Raw genomic sequence first — 25,323 nt, forward strand, 5'->3', positions numbered from 1 at the left:
TATAACAAAATTTCTCATATACCCAATACATTTGTATAAATAAAAGAAAATCTTGTTTCAGCAAGGGAAAAAAAATAAATAAAATCTATTCAAAGTTTTTTTAACAATAAATAAATTTGTGCTCTAATTTCAAGAGAAAATTCTTTTCTTCTGATTTAGGCAAAAAAAAACTTACGAAAAGTTACCCCCAAATACTAGCATAAGTCCAATTTTAAGCAATTAAACCGCTTTTCTTTTGTATATTTTCTAAAATGGCCAGTTTACCTCGGATCACACCTTAATGTGGCATTGTCTCATCATGCCTCATCATGTCATTGATGCAAAATAATTACAAAAACAGATAAAGCAAATTTAAATCTTGAAACTACATATTCGTTAAAAAGTGTCTGCATTTGCCTTCAAGAACAGACAAGTAAGAATAAAAAAGAACTGATGCCTAAAAGCCAAGTCTTAGAAACGTAAAAGCAGAAATGGGGCCTGAGGATGAGACTCCAATTTACCCAGGATTCGTGGCAGCTCCTGCACAATGTGACAGATGAGAAGATCCAGGCATTTGGACAGGTATTCATTGCCACTTTGCTGCTCCTTGCCTGGAGTGGTCTTTCTGCTGTCTCTCTCGATGTACATCACCAGTCTACATACAGGAAAGTGCAAAGATTACCTCTCATGATAAAACACTTGATAGCATCTATCCAAAAATGCCGCCAAGGCAAGTGTTTCCAGAGGGCACCCTCCCAATCATATTGACGTTTAGATTTGTAGCAACTTGTCGGGCACAATTTTTGCCTCAGAAAACTCAAAACATCTATAAAGAAAGAAAATAAAGCAACTTCAGATCTCTCTGCTAATATCCTGATTCCATTTGCCTTGGCGAATGGAAACGAACAATATTCTCCAGGTGATAAATGAAAGACAAAGAGATGTCTGGACAGAAGAGGGCTCTTTATGTTTCAAAGGTTCAAAGTAAAGCCACAAGTTAACTGCATATTTGTTTATCATTAGTATTCAATTTGCTTGGGACCCTAGATAATTCACATGAATTTCAATTGTCTCATCCAAAGAAAATGTTTCATTTTAACACTGGGTTATACAGATGGCAGACAATATCTAAATATCTGGCTTTTACGTGTCTCTTTATCTACTAGTTTTATGATACCTGCCTTTTAAAGCTAACTTATTTCTTCTTTCAAACTACTGGCATTCTTTAAACATTCATTTCTGAACCAACCACTTCCAACCCGGAACTAGGGAGTCTACTGGACCATCACCTTAGACATTTAAGGTGTTACTACAAACTTTTAGGTCCTCTCCACATTTTCTCCCCTTTGCTGGACCTACTAGTCATTTTCTCAAGTTCCCATTCCCCCCAACTCCCTACAGGGCAACAAGTCCACTGATTTCACCATGCAAAAGGCCCTGTAAGGCAGTCTCCCTGGTTACCATCATCCATCTATCCATTTCTGTTATTCTCACCCATCCACCCAACTTTTACTTCTCAGGAAGAACTTCCAACCAATTTCCATTGTAAATTGGAGTTTTATACATAATATACATATATACATAAAATGTATTGAAATCTTGATACTTAGCATTTATGTGGCTCTCTCAATAGACTTATGCATGCATTTGCGTTTCCATGTATTACTATTTGCACCCCATCACGTGAGGATGAACCCAAATCAGGAAGTTAGCCTTGATTCTGTATCAGTTAGCATCTTCTGTTCTAGTCAACAATTATGTGGCTAGAGCCATAATCACTGTTCAACCTACTTGTTCTTCAATCACCTTCAATCTGGCTTTCTCTCTCATCACTATCTCTAAAGTCACATGACATCAAATCCAATGGGCCTTCATCTGCCTTCAACTACACAAGTCAACAGCATTCAATACTGTTGCCACTCCTGCCGTTCCTCTATCATAACCTCATCCTTTATTAGCTTTCTTCTCCAGTTTCTCTGGTTGTTCCTTCTCTGTGTCTTTTGCTGGTTCATGCTCTTAAATGCTGAAGTCTATCAAGACTGAGTTCTAGGCCCACAACTATCCTCTAACTGTTTAACACAGGCTATCTCATTCCTACCAATGATTTAAATTACCACTTATCTATACAGATATCTTCCAATTACATATCTGCAGCTCAAATACGGTATCTAAGTTATATGCCAATATATTCAACTGTTGACTTGACATCTGATTTTATCTGTCTTAAAGAGGTTCAAACTCTGTATATCCAAAATAAAAATCATCATCTCACCAAACCTGGTTGTCTTCCAGAGCACAATATCCTACTGTATAGTATCACTCTCTACCTTATTAAACAAACCAGAAAACTAGGAGAGTCATCCTTAACACCTCCTTTTCTCTCATTTCCCATATTAAGTCAATCACTAAATATTCTTCCAACTCTTTCACTTCTCCACTCCAAACCAATAGCAAGCTACCATATTTCCTTCTCCTGGACTATTACAATAGGCTTCTAGCTAACTAGTCCATCTGCTTCTACTCTGCCACTCTAATCCTTGCACACTCTACATCTAAACTAATCTTGTCCATCAGGTCACTCCCCTATTTAAAACCCTTCCATGGCATCTCATTGTTCTTCACATAGGAGTTCTTAAAACTCCCTATCATGAACTTCACGGCCTGACCCCCAATTACTTCTCCAGTTTCGTCTTGTTTTCTCTCCCTCCTGTCACACTGGGTTCTCTGTCTCTTAAATACAGTACCTCCCCATGCAACAAGCTACTGCCTCTGCCTAGATGGCCCTTCTCTTCCCTCTTTGCCAATAAATTCATATGCATATTTCATAACTCACTGTACTCTCCAATGATTTCCTTAAATTAAAGCCCTCTATGGTACTGTCTCATAGCATGGAAGGATTACCCAACTGCAATTTTAAAAGATATTTTTAATTATCTGATAATGTTTGTCACCCCAGTAAACTTAAAAATACCTAAGGGCAAGGACTATATCTGATTCTTCTCACCACACCCTTCCACTTCTGCGCACAGTTCTTAACTCTAATTAAGTGTTCAATACATATTAGCTGAATAAGTAAATATTGCTGTTGAAACTGCCATAAAGTTCTATCTAGTTCTCTACAGCAATTCCATCTCATTATTCCCAAGGCCCATTTCTTAATTCTGCTATTTAGTGTGTGCTTGCTTAAAATTTATACCGCATATAAAAAGCTAAAAAAATAAAAAACTTCCACCTAGAAAAAAATACCAGAAGCAAAAAGACCAACTGGAGAAAAATATTTCCATTCCAAATCACAAAATGTTAGTATTATATATGTACACACACACATGCATGTGCCCCCAGATAATAATTAGAAAAAGACTAACAAAAGAAGAGGAAAAAATGAGCAAGGACTAAGAGAAGGCAGTACACATAGAAGAAAATATAAATGGTTCAAGAAAAAGACATTCCATTTCGCTCCTAATAAAAGAAATATACATACAATGACATCTATTTTTACCTCATGGGGCCAACACTCAGAAAATTTGACAAGACTGCCATCAAGACTCTGAGGATACTGATACTCTAGTTCATTGCTGTTGGAAATGTAATCGAGTATAAATCCCAGGCAGAGTGAGCTGGCAATAATTTGAAAATTAATAATCTAGTAATTTCATCTCTAGGAACAAAGTATTCAATAGATATACCTGTACACATATGATATGACACATACACATAGTTTGCTATTTATAACATCAAAAAATTGGGGTAGGAAGTATTTAGCAAAAGGGAACTGGTTAAATAAAATATGGTACATAATTAGAATGCGGCTGTCAAAAAGAAGCAGCCCTTTATACACTACATGAAAAAGCTACAAGATATGTTTTTAAGAAAATAAGCAAAGTTCAAAATAGGGAACTTTCGCTTATAAAGGGAGGGAAATAATCCATATTCATATTTGCTTAGATTTTTAAAAAATCCAGAGGGATAAATAAGCTAATAAGGATGCTTAATTTTGCATGGTGGTAATCCAGGGTAATGGAAGCAGATGAGAAATTTTTCGCTTTGAATTTTTTTTTTTTTTTTTTTTTTTTTTTTTGGGTTTTGAACCATGAGTATGTGTTACCTACTCAAAGCTTTTAATGTAAATATATATATATATATATATATATATATATTTTTTTTTTTTTTTTTTTGAAACGGAATCTCACTCTGTCACCCCTGCTGGAGTGCATGCAGTGGCACAATCTCGGTTCAATGCAACCTCTGCCACACAGGTTCAAGTGATTCTCCTGCCTCAGCCTCCAGGGAAGCTGAGATTACAGGCACCTGCCACCACGCACAGCTAATTTTTGTATTTTTAGTGGAGACCGGGTTTCACCATCTTGGCCAGGCTGGTCTTCAACTTCTGACCTCGTGATCCACCCGCCTCAGCCTCCCAAAGTGCTGGGATTACAGGCGTGAGCCACCATGCCTGGCCAATGTTTTTAAACATTAAGTAATATTGTTGTCCTACAGAGCCTTTTTAAAAACATTTTCTAGGAGATATAATGCTCAATTTCCCAGGATACCCTACCAAATAGTAAATGCTGAGTGCAAGGCAAACAGACAGCCCGATTTGTAAGATTTATGCTTTCCCACAGTGTCAAGTGTCAGGCTGACTTTACAAAAGAAGTAAACCAACAGTACTCCAGCAGTACCCCAAAACTTAATTGTGGTTTGTGTCCATTACAATTCCTAGATTCTTTCTTTCAGCAGGGTCAAATCTTTTACCTTGACAATATTGAAACAAAGATGTCAACCAAATCTGGAAGCAATTCTCACCTGTTGCACTTTCAGACAGTGTGATCTTGTACAAATTAAACTCTTACAAACTTCAGTTTTCTAATTACAAAATGGGATAATGCCCGCCTTATAGGACTGCTGTGAGGATGTAAATGAATGCGGTAAATTCTCAGGAAACGGTAGCTGCTATCATCACCACCACCAAACTTGGGATACTGCTTTCTTGAGTACACAAATCTTAAGAGAAAATCCCTAGAGAAGGCTAACACTCTGTTTTTCATCCCACTCTCTGAATCATGAATCACCATGCTCAAAAGTCCTGCCCCACTTCCCCTGCATTTTGAAGAACTGCCTCAACTTATTAAAATGAAAGACAGACCGGGCGCAGTGGCTCACACCTGTAATCCCAGCACTTTGGGAGGCCATGGCGGGTGGATCACCTGAGGTCAGGAGTTCGAGACCAGCCTGACCAACATGGAGAAACCCCGTCTCCACCAAAAAAATACAAAAATTAGCCAGGCGTGGTGGCACATGCCTGTAATCCCAGCTACCCGGGAGGCTGAGGCAGGAGAATCTCTTGAACCTGGGAGGCAGAGGTTGCAATAAGCCGAGATGGCACCACTGCACTCCAGCCTGGGCAATAAGAGTGAAACTCCATCTCAAAAAATTAATTAATTAAAATTAAATTAAAATAAAATGAAAGAGAGCCTGACATCTCTTCAGAGATTAGAATTTGATGCCATTAAAATTGTTCTACTCCTTTTGATATAGGAAGAATAGAAACATTTTCTTTAAGGAAATAGTTTTGTCTTCATTAAACATGCAGAATATATAACCGTTTATTTAACCCATCATCCTACTAAAAGACATGAGGGGTGCTTTCAGCTTTTCTTCTCAAAAAGCAATGCTTGAGAGACACTGTTGCATCTGTCTCCTGGTACACATGTGCAAGAGTTGCTAGGGTACATGTATAGGAATGGAAACTCAAATATTCAACTTCACGACACTGCCAAACTGGTTCCCAAAGTGGTTGTCCCAATTTATTCCCACCAGTAGTGTATGCGTTCCCTCTGAGTTACAACCTCACCAATACCTACTGGTATCAGATTTAATTTCTACCCATCTATTTATGGGGTTTAAAGTGGTACCTTTAGTCTTAATTTGAATTTTCATAATTATTAATGACAGAATATTTTGGTATTTATTTGCTGTTCATAATTCCTCTTTTCTCAGGAAAATGAAGGGAAAAGAGGAATTATGAACAGTAAGTGCCTGAAAATGTCTGTTTCTGAAATGCCTGTTCAGGTCTTTTGCTCATTCTCCCATTGGGTTGTTGATCTTTTGTTATTGATTTGGAGGCATTAATTATATGGTCTGGATCTTTTATCTTCTTCCTCTTTGTCCCCTTCTTTATCCTCTTTCTTCCTTCTTGTTTCTCCTCCTCCTCTTGTCTTTCACATTGAAGTCCTCAATCCACTAGAAATTGACTGATCATGTGGGTTGAGGTGGGAATCTAATTTCATTGTTTTTCCAAGTGGACGAGCACTTGTCTGGTACTATTTATTGAAAAGGTACTTCTAAAACCAACAGTGAGGAAAGAGGGGTAAAAGATCAAATATTTGGCAAAATCTGATTAAAAAGCAGTTTGAACCTTACATTACCTCCTCTGGCCAATATATGTAGGTAACTGCCACTAGGCTTGCACTCAGGCAAAAGTTTAAACATTTATTCTCTAGAGAAAATAAAAACCATCTGGACTGAGAAATAGCAGACCAAGATTAAGAGAGGACTACCAAACTGCAAACAGGGGACTAAGTAAATTTATGCACAGTAAATACTGAAACTTCATCTCCCTTAGCCCAGTGGGCGCCTGGGACTCTGGTAGCCCAGTCGTTTCCTTCCGAGCATGTGACTGGAACACTCTGCATGTGCTCTTCTTTGGCAAAACTAAATAGCCCAAGAGAAATAGCCAGAGACATTCATGCTAAAGTTCACATTAAAAATGCCTGTACAGATGATCTTAATGTAAAGCTCAAAGTCAAAATTCACCAACACACTGAGAACTTCTAAAATAGGCTGTCATTCCCTCAACTCTTAATCATAAGGAGATCAAACATTACCAAATAGCTGAAAGCCTGACTTATCTGTTCTACATTTATGTCTGCTGGTATTCATCCACATTCTTTTTCATTGCTGTGTAGTGTTCCGGTATGTGAATATACCATAATTTACTTACTCGTTTTGTTGTGGATGAACATTTGGGCTATTTCAATTAATGAATAGGGCTAAGCATAACTTATGCTGGATGCACATAAACATTTCTATTGGATATATCTGTATCCTTGGAAGTAAATTTGCTGGGTCACAAAGCATGCCTCGATTCAGTTTCATAGACACTGATGATCAGTTTTCTAAAGTGATCATTATGTCAATTTATACTCCAACAGGTAGATATAAGAATTCCAGTTTTTCAGCCAGGCGCGGTGGCTCACATCTGTAATCCCAGCACTTTGGGAGGCCGAGGCGGGTGGATCATGAGGTCAGGAGATCGAGACCATCCTGGCTAACACAGTGAAACCCGTCTCTACTAAAAATACAAAAAATTAGCCGGGCGTGGTGGCAGGCGCCTGTAGTCCCAGCTACTCGGGAGGCTGAGGCAGGAGAATGGCGTGAACCCGGGAGGCAGAGCTTGCAGTGAGCCAAGATTGCACCACTGCACGCCAGCCTGGGCGACAGAGTGAGACTCTGTCTCAAAACAAAACAAAAAAAAAATTCCAGTTTTTCTATATCTTTGCCAAAACCCTACATTATCAGGCTTTTTAATCACAGCCATTCTAGTGGGTATATGTTGGTAACTCATTGTGATTAAACTAAATTTTCCTGATGACTAATTAGGTTAAGCATCTTTTCAGGTGTTAATTGACCATCTGGAGATAACCAGTTTTGTAAACTGTTTGTCCAAGTCTTGTGCTCATTTTTCTATTGGGTTATCTGTCCTCTTTTCCTTGATGAAGTAAGTCTGTACATATTTCTGTTAAGAGACCACTGTTGATTATATATGTTGATTATGAATGTCTCTTACTCTGTGGCTTACCTTTTTACTCTTTTAATGTCTTTGAATGAACCATAATTTTAAGGTAGCCTAATTTATCAATATTTTCCTTTCTGACAATGCTTTTGTGTTCTGTTAAAAAAAATTTCAGTCTACACAAAAGTCATGAAGATATTTTCATATGCTATCTACCAGAAGCTTTACTGCTTTACCTTTACAAATTTAAACAGAAAATCATAAAATCTACCTGTATTGATCTTTGGTACAGTACAGCTTAGGAGTAAAAGTTTTTATTTCTTTCCTATATTGATATCTAAATTATCTATTATCGTTTATTATAAAACCCACAATTTTCTGTTTTCCTCTATATCTCTCCCACTATTCTTCATGTCTTCTATACTTTTGTCTCTCTACACTGATCTCAGACTTCTCCCAGATAGCATTTCTCTGCTTCAGAGAGTCTAATCTGTTAGCCAAATCCACTGACTTGTTACTTTCAATTATTGTATTTTTCAGTTCTAGAATATCCATTTGGGTTTTTTTAATAGTTCTAGTTCTCCACTGAAACCCTTAATCTTTCAAATTCCTTGACTATATTAATCACAGTTATTTTAAAGTCTGTATCTGATAACTCTATTGTCTGTATTCCCTATGGATACTGTCTCTCTTGTTGATTTTATTGCTTTTATTCATATCATCTTGTCTCCTCATAGGCCTGACTACTTTCTATTGAGTATTAGACTCTATACCTGAAAACTACGGAGATACTCTGAGGCCTAGGGTTACGGTTAAACTTCTTCAGACAGGATTTGCATTTGCTTCTGGAAGGCAGCTAAAACACCAAACAATCTAGATCATCTTAATCCAAACAGAGACTGAGATGATTCAAAAATGAGCTTCTCTCCCTGTTTTGGGAAATCCTCTATATCAGTAACAGCTACCCCAGAAACAGAAAACAGAGAAAATAGAAATGGTTATCTTTTGGCAGTCAAGGAATCCAAATGAAATCCTCTCCAAATTTACAGAGTATAAAAAAAGCAAATTCACACTTGTCTATAAGGAATAAATTTTTCTCTAAAGTTTAAATTATCCATTATAAAATTTGATAATGTGTTGCTTAACTACCATGGTTTGAAATATCTTTCACTTAAGGCAAAAAACTATTCAAATCATTTTCAAACACTAGTACAGACTGTTAATACATAAGAAAATATCCATTACATCTGCTGGGAGAAATAAAAAACTAATGGGATCCATAACAGTTTAAAACTAACTCTAGAATGATGCTCCATTTCTTCATGCTCTCCCCAATGCCTCCCCATTACAAGATGTGTTTTCACAGCTACAGTAGAATAAACTGACTTTACTGACAAGAGAACATTATTTTCTAAAAGAATTCACATCTATAAAGGAGACAAAATGTGGAAACATTTGAGCATAGTGTCCCACAAATACTTCACAAGCGTTCTACGAAAAGCAGCAAATGATATTTCTCAGTGTTCTACAAGGGTATATCAAGTTAAAAAGATAACACACTGAAAAGAAATCCAAATAAACTGCAAATAAACAAGGTCAGATCAATTCTCCTTTGTGTCCCTTACTAATTTTTTTGAGACAGAGTCTTACTCCATCACCCAGGCTGGAATGCAGTGGCATGATCTCAGCTCACTGCAACCTCCGCCTCCTGGGTTCAAGTGATTCTCCTGGATCACCTTGTAGCTCTGATTACAAGTATGCGCCACCACGCCAGGCTAATTTTTGTATTTTTGTTTTGTTTATTTGTTTCATTTAATTTTTATATTTTTAATAGAAATGGGGTTTCACCATGTTGGCCAGGCTGATCTTGAACTCCTGACCTAAAATGATCTGCCCACTTCTGCCTCCCAAAGTGCTGGGATTACAGGCATGAGTCACTGTGCCTAGCCAACTATCTTTAACAGTATTATTTCTCCCCAGGACATACCCATTTCCCAAACTACTGTCACTCAAACCCCTGCATTTCTCTCCATTTATCTCTCTGATTCATTCCCTCTAATCTGACCACAATTTTCTTACTCTCATCACCACAGGAATCCTATGCGCATTGCACACACATCCACCTTTACGTAACTCTGATCGGCCTTCTATTAAGACCTCCTGCTATACCTCTGTGATTCTAAGGCCAAACTCAGCAAGTCCTATGCCTAATATCTACACCAGTACAATGTCTACAGCAAAATGAGTTCAATGAGTACAAGGATGATGACATCAGTTTATTCATTCAATAACTATTTACCGTGTCTACTATGTGCTAAGTATTTTTCTAGTTGATGTAGATACAACCTATGGAGTGTATATTCAAGTCCAATGAAACAGACAGCAAACAAGCAACCAGAAAATAGCTTAGGTGGTGACAAGTACTATGGAGAAAATTAAAGAGTAAGAAAACTAGTCACTTGCCAGAGAAAACCTCTCGACAGGATGTCATTGAAGCAGAGACCAGAAGGGGTAAAGCAAGCGTGCAATGTGGACAAAACATTCCAGAAAACTGTTAAGCCACATGCAACATCCCAAAGGCAAACACATGCTTGCTGTGTACTTGTGTAGCTACAGCACAGTGTAAGAAAAGATCAGAGAGGTAACCAGGCTCCAAACCATGTAAGGGATTGTATGCCATGGTAAGAAGCTTGAACTTTACTCTCAAGGAGAAAGAGTGGCATGATCTGACATGTGGTTAAAAAAAAACAGCATTCTGGATCCTGTGAGGAAGACAGACTATGGAAATGTAAAAAGGAAGACCAGCTGAGAAGCAACTGTAACAATTTGGATGAGAAGTCATGGTGGCTTTGGTTAGTGTGGTAATGAAGAAATGGTGTTAATTGATGAGATTATGGATATTTTTTCAAGGTACAAATAATTAGATTTGCTGTTGATTGGATAGGAGAGGTGAAAAAGAGAAGTCAAGAATAATTCCATGCAACTAAGCAGCTGGAATAACAGAGCCACCATTTACTAATATAGGTAAAGACTGCCAGAATAGCAAGTCTGGAGCAGAAAAATCTTTATCAGACATTAACGTTTCGGTAGCACATGGAGAGTTGGTATGTGAGTGTGAGTTCAGAGAAAAGGTTTAGGCTGATGACATTAATCTGAGAGTAGGCCATGCATGGATGGTATTTAAGGCAATTGTCTTGGTCCATCTGTGTCACTATAAAGCAATGCCTGGGGATGGGTAATTTATAAAGAAAACAATGTGTATTTGGCTCATGATTCTGATTTCTGTAGAAGTTCAAGATTGGGCAGCTGCATCTGGCAAGGATCACAGGTTGCTTCCACTTATGGTGGAAGGCAAAGGGGTGCCAGGGTGTGCAGAGATCACATTGAAAGAGAGGAAGCAAGAGAGGGGGTAGGTACAAGGCTCTTTTTAATAACCAGCTCTGGTGAGAACTAATGGAGCAAGGACAGCTCCAAGCCATTCATGAGGGATCCATCCTCATGAGCCAAGCACCTGCCAGAAGCACCACCTCCAACAACGCAGATCAAATTTGGAGGCCTAAGGGACAAACATCCAAACTCTAGAAGCCATTAGATTAAATGAGATCACTCCAAGGACTGAGTCATGGAACTACTACAAAGGCTGAGATTATGAGAGAGGAAACTGAGGAAGAGTGACTACTGAAGGGTGAAGAAAACCCAAAAAAACTGCCCTGGGTGTCAAGTAAGAAAGTACTTCAAGAAGGAAACAGTAGACTTCTAGTTTCTGGTAAATGTGAATTAGGTTATTCAGACAAACATTTCTATTATAAATAAAACAAAAATGAAAAGATATATATATATCTCCACAACATATATGTATACACATATATAATGTATATCCACTTGATATATAATCACAGCAAACTATATGGCTTATAAACAAACACACAATGCCTATGATGACTGTCTGATGTTAAATAAGAACTTGTAGTTTTACACTGATGTCACCAAGATGGCTGACTGAAGGTGCCTGATACTCATGACCCCAACTCCTACAAAAAAAGACCAAAACAATGAATAAATAACTCCATTTTGACTAGAGTATCTGAAGGAGAACGCTGAAGTACAGCAGGGGAGTGGCAGAGACACCATGGAACATGAAGACTCAGGATGACTATATTGAGAAGGAATCCAAATACTCTGCTCTCTGCCACCCTGTCTCCCCAATTGGGATCAACTCGGAATCATGAGGAAATTCCCCCTACAAGAAAAAGGTAAAGCAAGGAGCCCCCAGTAGCTCCCACGAATGTCATGAAAACCTGCAGTTTTCGTTGCTGAAGAATCTCGCACTCCTCACGGGCCAATTGCAGTTCAGGAAGCTACCAGGAGTTCACGTGGCTGCACTGTGCCAGAGAAGAAGCCGACATTGTGTCCTATTTTCCCCCTGACCCAAGCTGCTACTGCATAATGCCATCTTGACACTGGAGCCACTGCTAGAGCGTGTCCTTCCCTGGGACCCAATAGCCACTGTATCTCCCCACCCCAAAGGCTCCACAATACTCAACAGTCCTGCAGCCCCTTGGAGCAAATAGGCCTGCCAACCTGCTCCCAAAGGAACAAGGCCTGATTCATCAAGTTCCATTCCCTCTTGGCATGGCATGAGAGACAGCTTGTTACTTTCAACTCCGGAGGTGAGGAGCAGCTGAGCTGCCAGTCAACCAGCCCTGCACTCCCTTGATGTAGTGCATGAGACAGCCTGCCACCCTGCCCTCAGGGAAGCAGCCCAAGCTGGCAGAACAGTTGCACAAACTTCTGCAGCCCAAGCCACTGAAGTACTCACAGGCATTGTTAATACTGACTATAGCTGAAACAACGGCACAAAGTCTACACTACTGCACCTACTCAACACCAAAGCCAACAAACCCAACACAACCAATGTCATAGGACAGATTTTCAAAATTATATTAAGTATCTTTTCTGACTATAATGAAATAAAACTAAAAATCAGTAACAGGAGAAACTCTGGAAGCTATACAAATACATGGATATTAAACAATATACTTTTGAACAACAGAAGGGTCAAGGAAAAATTTTTTTAATTTAAAAATTCTCTGATACAAATAAAAATGGAAACACAATATACTAAAAGCTATGGGATACAACAAAAGCACTTCTAAGAGGGAAGTTTATAGCAATAAATGCCCGCATCAAAAAATAAGAAAGATCTCAAAGAACCAAACATTATACTTCAAGGAACTAGAAAAACAACAAGAAACTAAACCCAACATTAGTAGAAGGAAAGAAGTAACATAAGTCAGAGCAGAAATAAATGAAATGGAGACTTTTTAAAAGACAAAAGGTCAGCAAAATAGAGTTCGTTCTTTGAAAATATAACAAACCTTTAGGTAGACTAAGAAAAAAGAGAAGATTCAAATAAATAAACTCAGAGATAAAAAGTAGATATTACAATGTATGTCACAGACTAAAAAGAATCATAAGACTATTATGAACAACTATACACCAAAAAGTTGAAAAATCTATCAAAAATGGACAAATGCCTGGATACACGCAGTCTATCAAAATTGAATCATGAAGAAATAAAAAGTCTGAAGAGACCAATAATGAGTAATAAGACTGAATCGATAATAAAGTCTCCCATCAAAGAAAAGCCCAGAGCCTGATGGCTTCACTGCTGAATACTGTCAAACATTTAAAGAACTAACAGTAATCCTTTTCAAAGTACTCCAAAAAATTGAAGACAAAGAAGTCTTTCAAACTCATTCTACGGTATCACTTTAATCTGAAAACCAGAGAAGGAAATTACAGGCCAATATCCTTGATGAAAAACCATTCACCATAATCAAGTGTAATTCATCCCAGGGATGCAAGGATGGTTCAACATATGCAAATCAATAAATGTGATCCATCACATTAAGAAAATCAAGAACAAAAACCATATGATTTCAATACATGCAGGGAAAAAACTTGATAAAAGTCAACATCCTTCAAAATAAAAACTCTCCACAAATTAGGCATAGAAGGAATGTTTGTACCTCAACCCAATAATGGCCATATATGACAAACCCATGGCTAAATGTAATACCTGAATAGGAAAAAAAATAAATGGAAAGCTTTTCCTCTAAATTTAGAACAAGACAAGGATACTCACTTTCATCACTTTTATTCAATGTAGGCAAGAGAAAGAAAGGGCATCCAAACTGGAAAAAAAAATAAGAAAAAAAAAGGGACTCCAATTGTTCCTGCTTGCGAATGGCATAATCTTGAAGCTATAGAAAATCCTAAAGGCTCCACCAAAAAACTCTTACAAATATTAAGTGAATTCAGTAAAGCATTTCTATATATCAATAGCAAACTATCTGAAAAAAATCAAGAAAGCAATACCATTTATAAGTTATAAAAAAAATTCTCTTAATATGTTTAGTCAAGGAGGTGAAAGCCCTCTACAAGAAAAACTATGTAACAGTGATGAAGAAATTAAACAGGACACAAGTAAATGGAAAGATACTCCATGTTCATGGATTAGAAAAATTGATATTGTTAAGACATCTATACTACCTAAAGTGATCTACAGATTAAATGCAATTCTTATCAAATTACCAATGACATTCTTCACAGAAACAGAAAAAAAATTCTAAATTTTTTTTTAAAAACCCCAAAGAGCCAAATCAATTTTGGGGGAAAAAAAAAAAAAAAGAACAAAAGCTGGTGGCATCAGACTACCAGACTTAAAAATGCACTACAAAGTTTTGATAACCAAAACAGCATGGAACTAGCATAAAAACAGACACACAGACCAATGACACACAATGGAGAACACAAAAGTAAATCCACACAATTATAGCCAGCTGATTTTCAACAAAGATACCAAGAACACACTTGGGGAGATGGCAATCTCTTCAATAAACGAAGTTGGGAAAACTGGATATCCACATGCAGAAGAGTGTAGCTAGACCCCCTCACTCTCACCGTATACAAAAATCAAGTCAAAATGGACTGAAGACTTAAATTTAAGATCTGAAACTAGGAAACTGCTAGAAGAATACATAGGGAAACTGCTTCATTAGTCTGGTCCATGATTTTTTGGGTAAGAACTCAAAAGCGCAGGCAACAAAAGTGAAAACAGACAAATGAGATTGCATCAAACTAAAAAGCTTCTGCACAACAAAGGAAACAAGGGTGAACAGACAGGCTACAGAATGGGAGAAAATATTCTCAATCCATGCATCTGACAAGAGGTTAATATCCAGAATATATAAAGAATTCAACTCAATAGCAAAAGAAAAAAAAATCTGCTAAGAAATGAGCAAATGAATAGACATTTCTCAAAAGACATACAAATGGCCAACAGGTATATTTAAAAATGCTCAACAACATCACCAATCATCAGGGAAATGCAAACTAAAACCACAATGAGGTATCACCTCACCCCAGTTAGAGTGGCTATTAACAAAAATAATAATAATAATAATGACAAATATTGGCATAGATGTGAAGAAAGGGGAGTTCTTATATACTGTTAGAGGGAAGGTAAATTAGTATGGCCATTATGAAAAACAGTATGGGGGTACTCAAAAATTAAAAATAGAACTACCATATAATCAAGCAATCCCACTATTGGGTATTTATCCAAAGAAAAATAATTCAATATATCAAAGGAATACATGCACTCCCATGTTTACTGCAGCACTGTTCACAATAAGCAAAGATACGGAATCAACCTACGTGTCCATCAATGAATGGATAAAGAAAATAAAGAAAATGTGGTAAGTATACACAATAATAATATTCAACCATAAAAAGAATGAAATCTTGTCATTTGCAATAACATGAATAGAACTGGAGGGCATTACGTTAAGTGAAATAATCCAGGCATGATCTCGCTCATATGTGGAATCTCAAAAAGCTGATCTAATAGAAATAGAGAAGAGAATATTGGTAACCACATTCTGGGGAGGCTAAGGGCAGGGAGAGGGGGAGGACAGGGAAAGTTTGTACAAAATTACAGTTCGATAGGGAAAATAAGTTATCGTGTTCTATTGCACAGTAAGGTGACTATTACAATATTGTATTATATATTTCAGCATCTCAAAATAACCAGAAGAGAGGATTTTTAATGTTCTCACCACAAGAAAATAATAAACGTTTGCAGTGATATGCTATATACCCTAATTTGATCATTACACAGTGTATACACATACCTAAACATCACAGTGTACCCCATAAATATGTACAATTATTATGTGTCAAGTAAAAATAAAACAAAAGAACTACTCTTGGTTTAGATAAAATTTGCAGTGACTGCATCACACACAAGCAGAAAAGGTGTTGTCTCTGAAACCATTTAAATGGAAGAGGAGATGATCTAGTTTGGAATACTGTGTCAGATGATGCAGGAGAAACTCAAGGAACTGATGTTCAACATGCTGTGGTGACACTTCAATAAAGCAGTTTAAAAAGAGGTGTTGAATACATTTATTTTACAAAATGCAAGAATGCAGACTTCCAAACCAGTACATTATCTTATATACATACTTAAAAATAAATGTGTAACTATAATAATAAATTAAATATTTATAAAAAGAGGTAAACAGTCATCTATTTCATCAAATTCATTTAAAAGTTTATATAATTACCATGTTTTCTCCCAAAAAGACTTTTTTAGACATTCCATTGAAAAATTAGACTTTCATATAATCAAGATTGCCTTGAATTCAACTAAACACATGATTTTTTTTTTTTTTTTTTTTTTTTTTTTAGACAGAGTCTCATCCTGTCTCCCAGGCTGGAGTGCAGTGGCGCAATCTCACCTCACTGTAACCTCCACCTCCCGGGTTCAAGCAATTCCCCTGCCTCAGCCTCCCAAGTAGCTGTGATTACAGGCACCTGCCACCACGCCCAGCTAATTTTTTTGTATTTTTAGTTGAGACGGGGTTTCACCATGTTGGTCAGGCTGGTCTCAAACTCCTGACCTTAGGTGATCCACCTGCCTTGGCCTCCCAAAGTGCTTAGGATTACAGGCATGAGCCACTGCGCCCAGCTAGATGTTTTCATCAAATTGTTCCAGCTTTTGTGTGGAAAACATATTACTGGGGTGGGGGGAGCTGAACAACTAGAAGCAGGAAGATCAGTTAGGAGACCAGTGTCAGAGCAAATAAGAGATGCTATTGGCTTGGTTGGGGCAGTCTAGACGGAAAGTAGGTAAGCAGGGGACCATCTTTTTGGAGGAAGAGTCAATATGACTTGTTTATTAATTGAATGAATAAGAAAAAAATATGGGTTACTCAGAAGTTTGGGTTTGAGTAACTGCATATAGTGTTACTGAATGTATTTGACTATTACTGAGTAACTGGATCAAGTGCTACTGAATGTTTCTGACTCCCAGTCTGGGAGATGGGAGAGTTAGAAAGCATATTTGATTTGTATACGTTAAATTTAAAACTCCTCTTGTGTATGCAATTGAATACGTTAAGATAATATAAGCCTGAAGTGGAGAAAAGTTCATCTAAGTGTATATCAGCACATAGGTAGTGTTTGAAGCCACAGGATTAGATGAAATCACCTAAGGACAGTGATGAAAGAGAAAAAAAAGAAGGCTCAGCAAATGAAACAGAAAAGTGGAAACCAACAAAGAAGAGACTGAGGTGGGAAGAAAGCAAGGAATGTAGATTAAGCCCCTATTATGAGCCCTAAAACTACAAAGATAAACTCCAGTTTAAATTCCCAAGTTGCACTGAAGCATTTTACTTCCCTTTTTCACATAGTCCCACTGGAAAGTCACATTAGCCCTAAAAACAGGAAATTGTACCATTCACAGTCAGAACCTTCAAAAACCTCTTAACAGTGATGGTACAGATTAAATGGATTGACAGAGGGCCCAAGAACACAAAAAGGAAAACGCTGACCAGTGAGTAGGCAGAACCTCGGCAGCACCTCAAGCCTTAAATGGCAAGGGAACAAGACAAGTTTTGGCTTTAGTGCTGATGGGACGACATGAGGTTTTCTCAACCCTGTGAACAAAGGAATTGGGTGCCAGAAAACCTGGCACAAAGGTCATGCTAACTACAAAGAGAGGGATCGCAGGGAGACTGAAGGAAGGAAATTGTTTAAAGGAAAGAAATGATTTGATGAAAGTGGCATTTGGGGAATATTAATCAGATAGCGGATAAGCTAATGAATGCGAAAAGGAAGACAAGCAGGCAATTAGGAGTTACAAGTGTACAGGTGAAGAGGAGAAACAGAAACATGAGAGAGAAGAACTGACTGCCTGGAAATGGTATGAGTAGAAGAAAAGATTCCAGTAGTATATTATGGACAGAATGGCCCATTTATATTGTGTAAAGTCAGTTATATAGGTTTTAAAAATAAAGAATTCACACTCCTTGCTTTTTAACTTAATTCAGGCTTCTCCTTAAAGATGCCATCATCCCAATTCCCCTGGGTCACCCTTATTCCCTTCGAGTTCTACCGAGCTCTATGTGCCCATCAGTGAGCTACTCCACTGCCTATTTCTACTTCAGATATTCTCATGTGCAGTATATTACTGGAATAACATGTAAATTGTAGATATCCATTCCATTTGAATTCATTCTGGACAATATCACAAGTGGTTCCTTGCTGAGGGTATATGCTATTTACAGAGAGTCAAAACACTACAGTTTTCTCCTTGCTTCACTCCACTCTAAGTCCATTTTATTATTATTATTATTATTATTATTATACTTTAAGTTTTAGGGTACATGTGCACAATGTGCAGGTTTGTTACATATGTATACATATGTCATGTTGGTGTGCTGCACCCATTAACTGGTCATTAGGTATATCCCCTAATGCTATCCCTCCCCCCTCCCCCCACCCCACAACAGTCCCCAGAGTGTGATGTTCCCCTTCCTGTGTCCATGTGTTCTCATTGTTCAATTCCCACCTATGAGTGAGAATATGCGGTGTTTGGTTTTTTGTCCTTGCGATAGTTTGCTGAGAATGATGGTTTCCAGCTTCATCCATGTCCCTACAAAGGACATGAACTCATCATTTTTTATGGCTGTATAGTATTCCATGGTGTATATGTGCCACATTTTCTTAATCCAGTCTATCATTGTTGGACATTTGGGTTGGTTTCAAGTCTTTGCTATTGTGAATAATGCCACAATAAACATACGTGTGCATGTGTCTTTATAGCAGCATGATTTATAATCCTTTGGGTATATACCCAGTAATGGGATGGCTGGGTCAAATGGTATTTCTAGTTCTAGATCACTGAGGAATCGCCACACTGACTTCCACAATGGTTGAACTAGTTTACAGTCCCACCAACAGTGTAAAAGTGTTCCTATTTCTCCACATCCTCTCCAGCACCTGTTGTTCCCTGACTTTTTAATGATTGCCATTCTAACTGGTGTGAGATGGTATCTCACTGCGGTTTTGATTTGCATTTCTCTGATGGCCAGTGATGATGAGCATTTTTTCATGTGTGTTTTGGCTGCATAAATGTCTTCTTTTGAGAAGTGTCTGTTCATATCCTTCGCCCACTTTGTGATGGGGTTGTTTGGTTTTTCCTTGTAAACTTGTTTGAGTTCATTGTAGATTCTGGATATTAGCCCTTTGTCAGATGAGTAGGTTGCAAAAATTTTCTCCCATTCTGTAGGTTGCCTGTTCACTCTGATGGTAGTTTCTTTTGCTGTGCAGAAGCTCTTTAGTTTAATTAGATCCCATTTGTCAATTTTGTCTTTTGTTGCCATTGCTTTTGGTGTTTTAGACATGAAGTCCTTGCCCATGCCTATGTCCTGAATGGTATTGCCTAGGTTTTCTTCTAGGGTTTTTATGGTTTTAGGTCTAACGTTTAAGTCTTTAATCCATCTTGAATTAATTTTTGTCTAAGGTGTAAGGAAGGGATCCAGTTTCAGCTTTCTACATATGGCTAGCCAGTTTTCCCAGCACCATTTATTAAATGGGGAATCCTTTCCCCATTGCTTGTGTTTGTCAGGTTTGTCAAAGATCAGATAGTTGTAGATATGTGGCATTATTTCTGAGGGCTCTGTTCTGTTCCATTGGTCTACATCTCTGTTTTGGTACCAGTACCATGCTGTTTTGGTTACTGTAGCCTTGTAGTATAGTTTGAAGTCAGGTAGTGTGATGCCTCCAGCTTAAGCTGATAAGAAACTTCAGCAAAGTCTCAGGATACAAAATCAATGTGCAAAAATCACAAGCATTCTTATACACCAATAACAGACAAACAGAGAGCCAAATCATGAGTGAACTCCCATTCACAACTGCTTCAAAGAGAATAAAATACTTAGGAATCCAACTTACAAGGGATGTCAAGGATCTCTTCAAGGAGAACTACAAACCACTGCTCAATGAAATTAAAGAGGATACAAACAAATGGAAGAACATTCCATGCTCATGGGTAGGAAGAATCAATATCATGAAAATGGCCATACTGCCCAAGGTAATTTATAGATTCAATGCCATCCCCATCAAGCCACAAATGACTTTCTTCACAGAACTGGAAAAAACGACTTTCAAGTTCATATGGAACCAAAAAAGAGCCCGCATTGCCAAGTCAATCCTAAGCCAAAAGAACAAAGCTGGAGGCATCACGCTATCTAAGTCCATTTTTATCTGTTTAATGCACATCCTTTAATTTATAACTGTTGTTTTCCCCCATGCAGAAACAATTTGTACTTTAAATATGGAATGAATTTTTCCTCTTCTCCATCTCCCTGCCAGAATCCTCAGCAAACTCATCGTCCAATTCAATGCCTCTGTTTGTAATTAAAGCTATTATCTCTCAGCTTATGATGGCCGGATGATAAATAAGTTTGGGCCCAAATTCAAATTACAGTGACCCCAGCACATCTATAGACCTACTCTGTAATTATTCTTCGTTTCCTAAATATGTAACTCGAATAGACCACTTAGCAACTAGCAGAATCCATACTTTGGCTATCTGATCTGTGGAGGTAGGCTAGTATGGTAAGAAGAGACAAATGAAAATCTGGTACATCCCCTCTCTAGTAAGCCATATGAACATAAAACCAAATCATAAAAATTAGTATCAAGAGCAAAAACTTAAAATATGTAGGGGTGATAATATCTATCATTCCCATTTAAACTATTTGTTCAACAGAACAGATTATACTGGAAAAAATTAAAAATAGTCTATTTGGCCTATGCAACATCTTAGAATATGACTGTAGTGGATCTTGAAGAATGACAGCAGATCATCCAAAATGTAAATATGTGACTCCTGTTGCAGCTGCAATTTAAGATGTAATATTTCTACTGGAGCAAATCATCATAGCCCTGGCATGTTGGGTGCTATTGACTTGGCAAAGGTTTTTTTTCTCCGTTTCAATTTAGAAGAACCACCAGCATGTGTTTGCTGTTGCTCATCAGGGCAAACAGTTCATGTTCACTGCCTTGCCTCAAAGCCATGCTAACTCTGCTACCATTGGCCCTAAAACACTCTGCAAAGATCTGGGACATCTTGACATCCCACCAAACATCCCATGTGTACACTATTTTGATGACATTAAGCTGGTTGGACCTCAGGAAATATCAGCAGTGAGTACTTTTTAGTTGGCTTAGTAAGATACATGAGAGAGCAATAAACTCCAGAAAAATTCAGGGGGCTACCACTTCAGTCAGTTTTCTGCAGCTCCGAGGTCTACAGCAGGTTGGGACATCCCTCCAGGTCAAAAACAAGTTATTGCACCTTCTGTTGACTGTAACCAAAAAAAGAGGCACAATGTTTGGTGGGTTTTTGTGAATTAAGAGGTAAAACATACCACCTTTGAATGTGTGCCTCTCATTATCTGAAGAATTCACAAACTTATTAGTTTTGAATGGAGCTGAAGTAAGTAAAGGCTCTGCAGCAATTCTACAAGCTGCTGGGCCACTCAGGCCTTATGACCTAGCATATCTAGTACTACTTGAACCCCTACAGCAAATGGAGCCCCAGGGAAGCATCAATAAGTGAATCACAATACACATCTGTGCAGCTTAAGAGCAAAGTCACATTCTCACATGTGGATTACTATTCTCCTTTTGATAAACAGCTCCTGATAGAGAATAAACATTACGATTGAAACCAAATGATCACATGATATGAGTTACTTATCGTTAATCTGGGTCACCAAGCCACTACGTTAAGTATGCAAAGCAGTAAACCATCATCAAATGAGTCAATCAATATAAGAGACTGAGTTTCAACATGTCAAAAAATATAGCAGTAAATTGCATGAACAGTGGCTTAGATTCCTTCAACACATACTCCTCTGTGTGGCCTTCTCTCACTTAATCCTGATTAAGAATTGTTTATGACCAGCTAATTGGCAAAGAAAAGCACTGAATCTGGTTAGTGAATGGTTCAGTACAAGATGCTGGCACCAAATGAAAGTGGACTGCTGCATTACAAGCCTAATCAGAAGTGTCCCTGGAAAGAACATCCTCCCAGTGAGCAGAGCTTCAAATAATACATTGTGTTGCACCCTATGTTTAAACTGAGATGCAACTCATATATATGCTGATTCATGGGCACTGGGGCTTACAGCTTAGTAGGATGGTCAGGAACTCAGAAAACTGAGGAATTTGAAAACTGGTGACAAGAAGTTCTGAGAAAGTACATGGGTAGGCTTCTCAGAATGAGCACATGCATGTTCACTAACAGGCATCCACTTCAGAGGAGGCTTTCAATAATCAAGAGGACAAGATGACATGTTTCTCCAAATGTCAACAAAGACTCCTTCTCCAGCCACCCAGGGCTTGCTCAATGGGCCTGTGTACCAGGGAGCAAAGTGGCAAAGATGAAGGCTCTGCAAGGGCTCAGCAAAAGGAATGTTCCTCATAACATATTAATCTGCATTTCACTGATTACTAATGATGCTGAATATCTATTCATATCATTATGAATCTCTCTATAATACACAAATTAACTATTATATATGATGCAAAATTTTACAGCTTTTGTTAGCATACAAATTTTATTTATGATTTTTGGAAGATATAAAATTTTCTAATTTATATGTAGCCAAACTATCAGTATTTCCTTTTATGGTTTATTTCATTGCTCTTCTTCTCAGAAAAGCTTTCTTTGCCCATATTTAAACATATTTTCTTCCAGCTGTTTATGGTTTCTTTTTGGTATATAATTCTTCAATCCATCTGGAACTGGCTTTTGTACGGTGTAAGCAGAGAAAATAATTTTTCCCCACACAGTTAACCAATTATCCAGAGTAAATATTTATTTTAAATAATATTTCTTTTAAAATCAAAGCAGATTTTTTTTTATTTCACTGATTACCACATTATTAACAATACTATGGGGAAGGAAAAAAAACTCTAGGAAAATCTGATCCATCAGGAGCCACTGACATTTCAGCTCACGGCAAACCTATACAATCAGCTTACAAGACCATTCATCCTCTAAAAGGATTATCATGTTGAGAGATGCATAGGCCTTATTTTATCGCCTGTCATAGTAATATGAGTATGAAGCCATTTGGAGAAATAGGTGGACATTTGTGAGCCATCATATCATTTTTATCTGATCTTGACAGCTCAATTTCACCACCTGTCTCATGCTAGACAGATTTCAGAGCTGACATCACAGAAAATGTGCTGAAATGTAAAATGTAATCCATAAAAGGCCAATGGTGATGATGGTATGCAGAAAAACATATTTGCATAATGGAGCAAAGGTCATCCTGGGCTACCGATATGAGGCTTCCATTCTCAGGCAGATGGGCAGCACTGTGATTTGTTCAGGACTCCAGTTGCTAGTGCAGTTTCAAGGGACAAGTAAGGAAGGAAGAACAATTTTCTGTATAAACTCATCACAGAGAATTTTAACATCTCTCTAGCCTGAAGGCTGGCTCTCTTTTGCATACCTTTATATTCAACCTTGCATTTTATATGCACATGAATACAATACCTGGGCTGCAAAGCACAAAGGAACAGCTACTAACTATTTTCCATAGTCTGCACTGGCTGCCTATTCGTTTCTGACAATAATTTATATTACTAAATTTAATCTAAAAGTCTAAAAAGATGTGAACTTTCACTGCCTCAAGGATCCCCTTAATCCCTTCTTAACCAACTAGTACCCATTGCTAACATTTCCTTTAGTTTGTTTTTCTTCATTTTATATATACATATATATTTAATTATAGGAGTGAAACATGCTTATTACAACAGCCTAAAAATACAAATGAGTAAAGATAAATAATCTCACCATCACATCCTCCTCAGATAACCAATTTGGTATTATTCTTCCATATGCATTTTTTAACGAAATTGTATACAAATACATGCAAATAGAAGTTTTGCCACTTTTACTTTACAAACATAACTTCATAATTAATATATAACTCTGCTCTTGCCTTTTTTCACTTATCTATATACAATGAATATCCTTCCAGGTTAATCAAATGAATCATTTATATCACAGCTATATCATTATTTATTGAAGCATTTCAATACCAATGGATATTAACTATATTTCCATTTATTCACCACTTAGAAATAATGCTGCATTAAATAACCTAAAGCATATATCCTGAACAATTCACACTTTTATTTCTAGTGGCTAAATCAGATGCATGCCTGTTAAAATCAAAGCAATGTGTATTGTTAATAGTCATAGATGTTTCCAATCACTTAAATCACCTTTTAAAAGGTTGCAGCAACTCACATTTCCTCAAGCAGTATTTAAAAGTCACTGTGAAAAGTAGCTCTGCTAAGTACTATCCCACCAACTCTATAAGTGACTTTGGATTTCTAGTTCTGCCAAGATGGAGTAGGATCAAAACAAACACAGGAAGACTCTGAAAGGTGGAAAAAAGGTGGACTGGCTACAGAATGAAGGACCTGAGGAACAACATAGCAGTAAGTCTCCTTCCCTTCTTTATCGCCTCTCATGTATTCCAAGAGGGTGCTAGACAAGCCTCCAACCCAGAACTGTCCCCCCAAAAAAGTGCTAAGAAAAGCCTATTTTCCCTGGCCAAAGGATCAGTGAAAAAAGATGGCCTAACAACAGAAATTCTTTCTAGCAATACCTGCCCTGCTCTGACAACACACCAACAGAAAATCACATACAACCCTTCCCTTCCCAGTCCTCCAGTTTTAGTGGGACCATGGGAATTTTATCTTCTACCTTAACCCACCCCCAGGGAAACAGGTGGCCCACTTCAATTCCTCAACTGAGAAGTACAGGCAAAGCAGAATAGGGAGCTAATATTCCATCCCCTGCAAAGTGGAAGCAGTAACAGTTACCCAATTCCCCTGGAGGGGTAGTGTCTATAAGACCCAGCAGAGGGCTGATCCTCCATTCCCTGCCCAATAGAAACAGGCCATTCTTTAATTTCCCTGCTGTGACAGTATTAAGGTGTCTGAGTGGAGAGCTATCTTCCATTCCCAACCAGCAGAAGCAGGCAGTAATCTGATTCCCCTACAAAATTAGTGTCAGTGAGGTCCAGCAACCAGCAATAAAACCTCCACTCAGCAACATTAAGACTTAATGACACAGAGCAAGATGAGGACTCAAGACCTAGGCA

At 37.8% G+C, this 25,323-nt stretch overlaps 1 protein-coding gene across 6 annotated transcripts in view; it reads right to left on the bottom strand.

Annotated features, from left to right (window-relative positions):
* The window catches only part of ULK4 (unc-51 like kinase 4), a 715,505-nt gene that overhangs the window by 470,629 nt on the left and 219,553 nt on the right, over positions 1-25,323 (bottom strand). For all 6 annotated transcript variants that reach the window (NR_136342.2, NM_001322501.2, NM_017886.4 and 3 more), the window contains one exon: positions 501-634. Coding sequence is in view for 5 of the 6 variants with exons in the window: in NM_001322501.2 (NP_001309430.1) it covers positions 501-634 (134 nt within the window). In the remaining variant the exon portion in view is untranslated. The remainder of the gene's footprint in view (positions 1-500; positions 635-25,323) is intronic.

Source organism: Homo sapiens, chromosome 3, assembly GCF_000001405.40.
Source record: "Homo sapiens chromosome 3, GRCh38.p14 Primary Assembly".
Taxonomy (NCBI): Eukaryota; Metazoa; Chordata; class Mammalia; order Primates; family Hominidae; genus Homo; species Homo sapiens.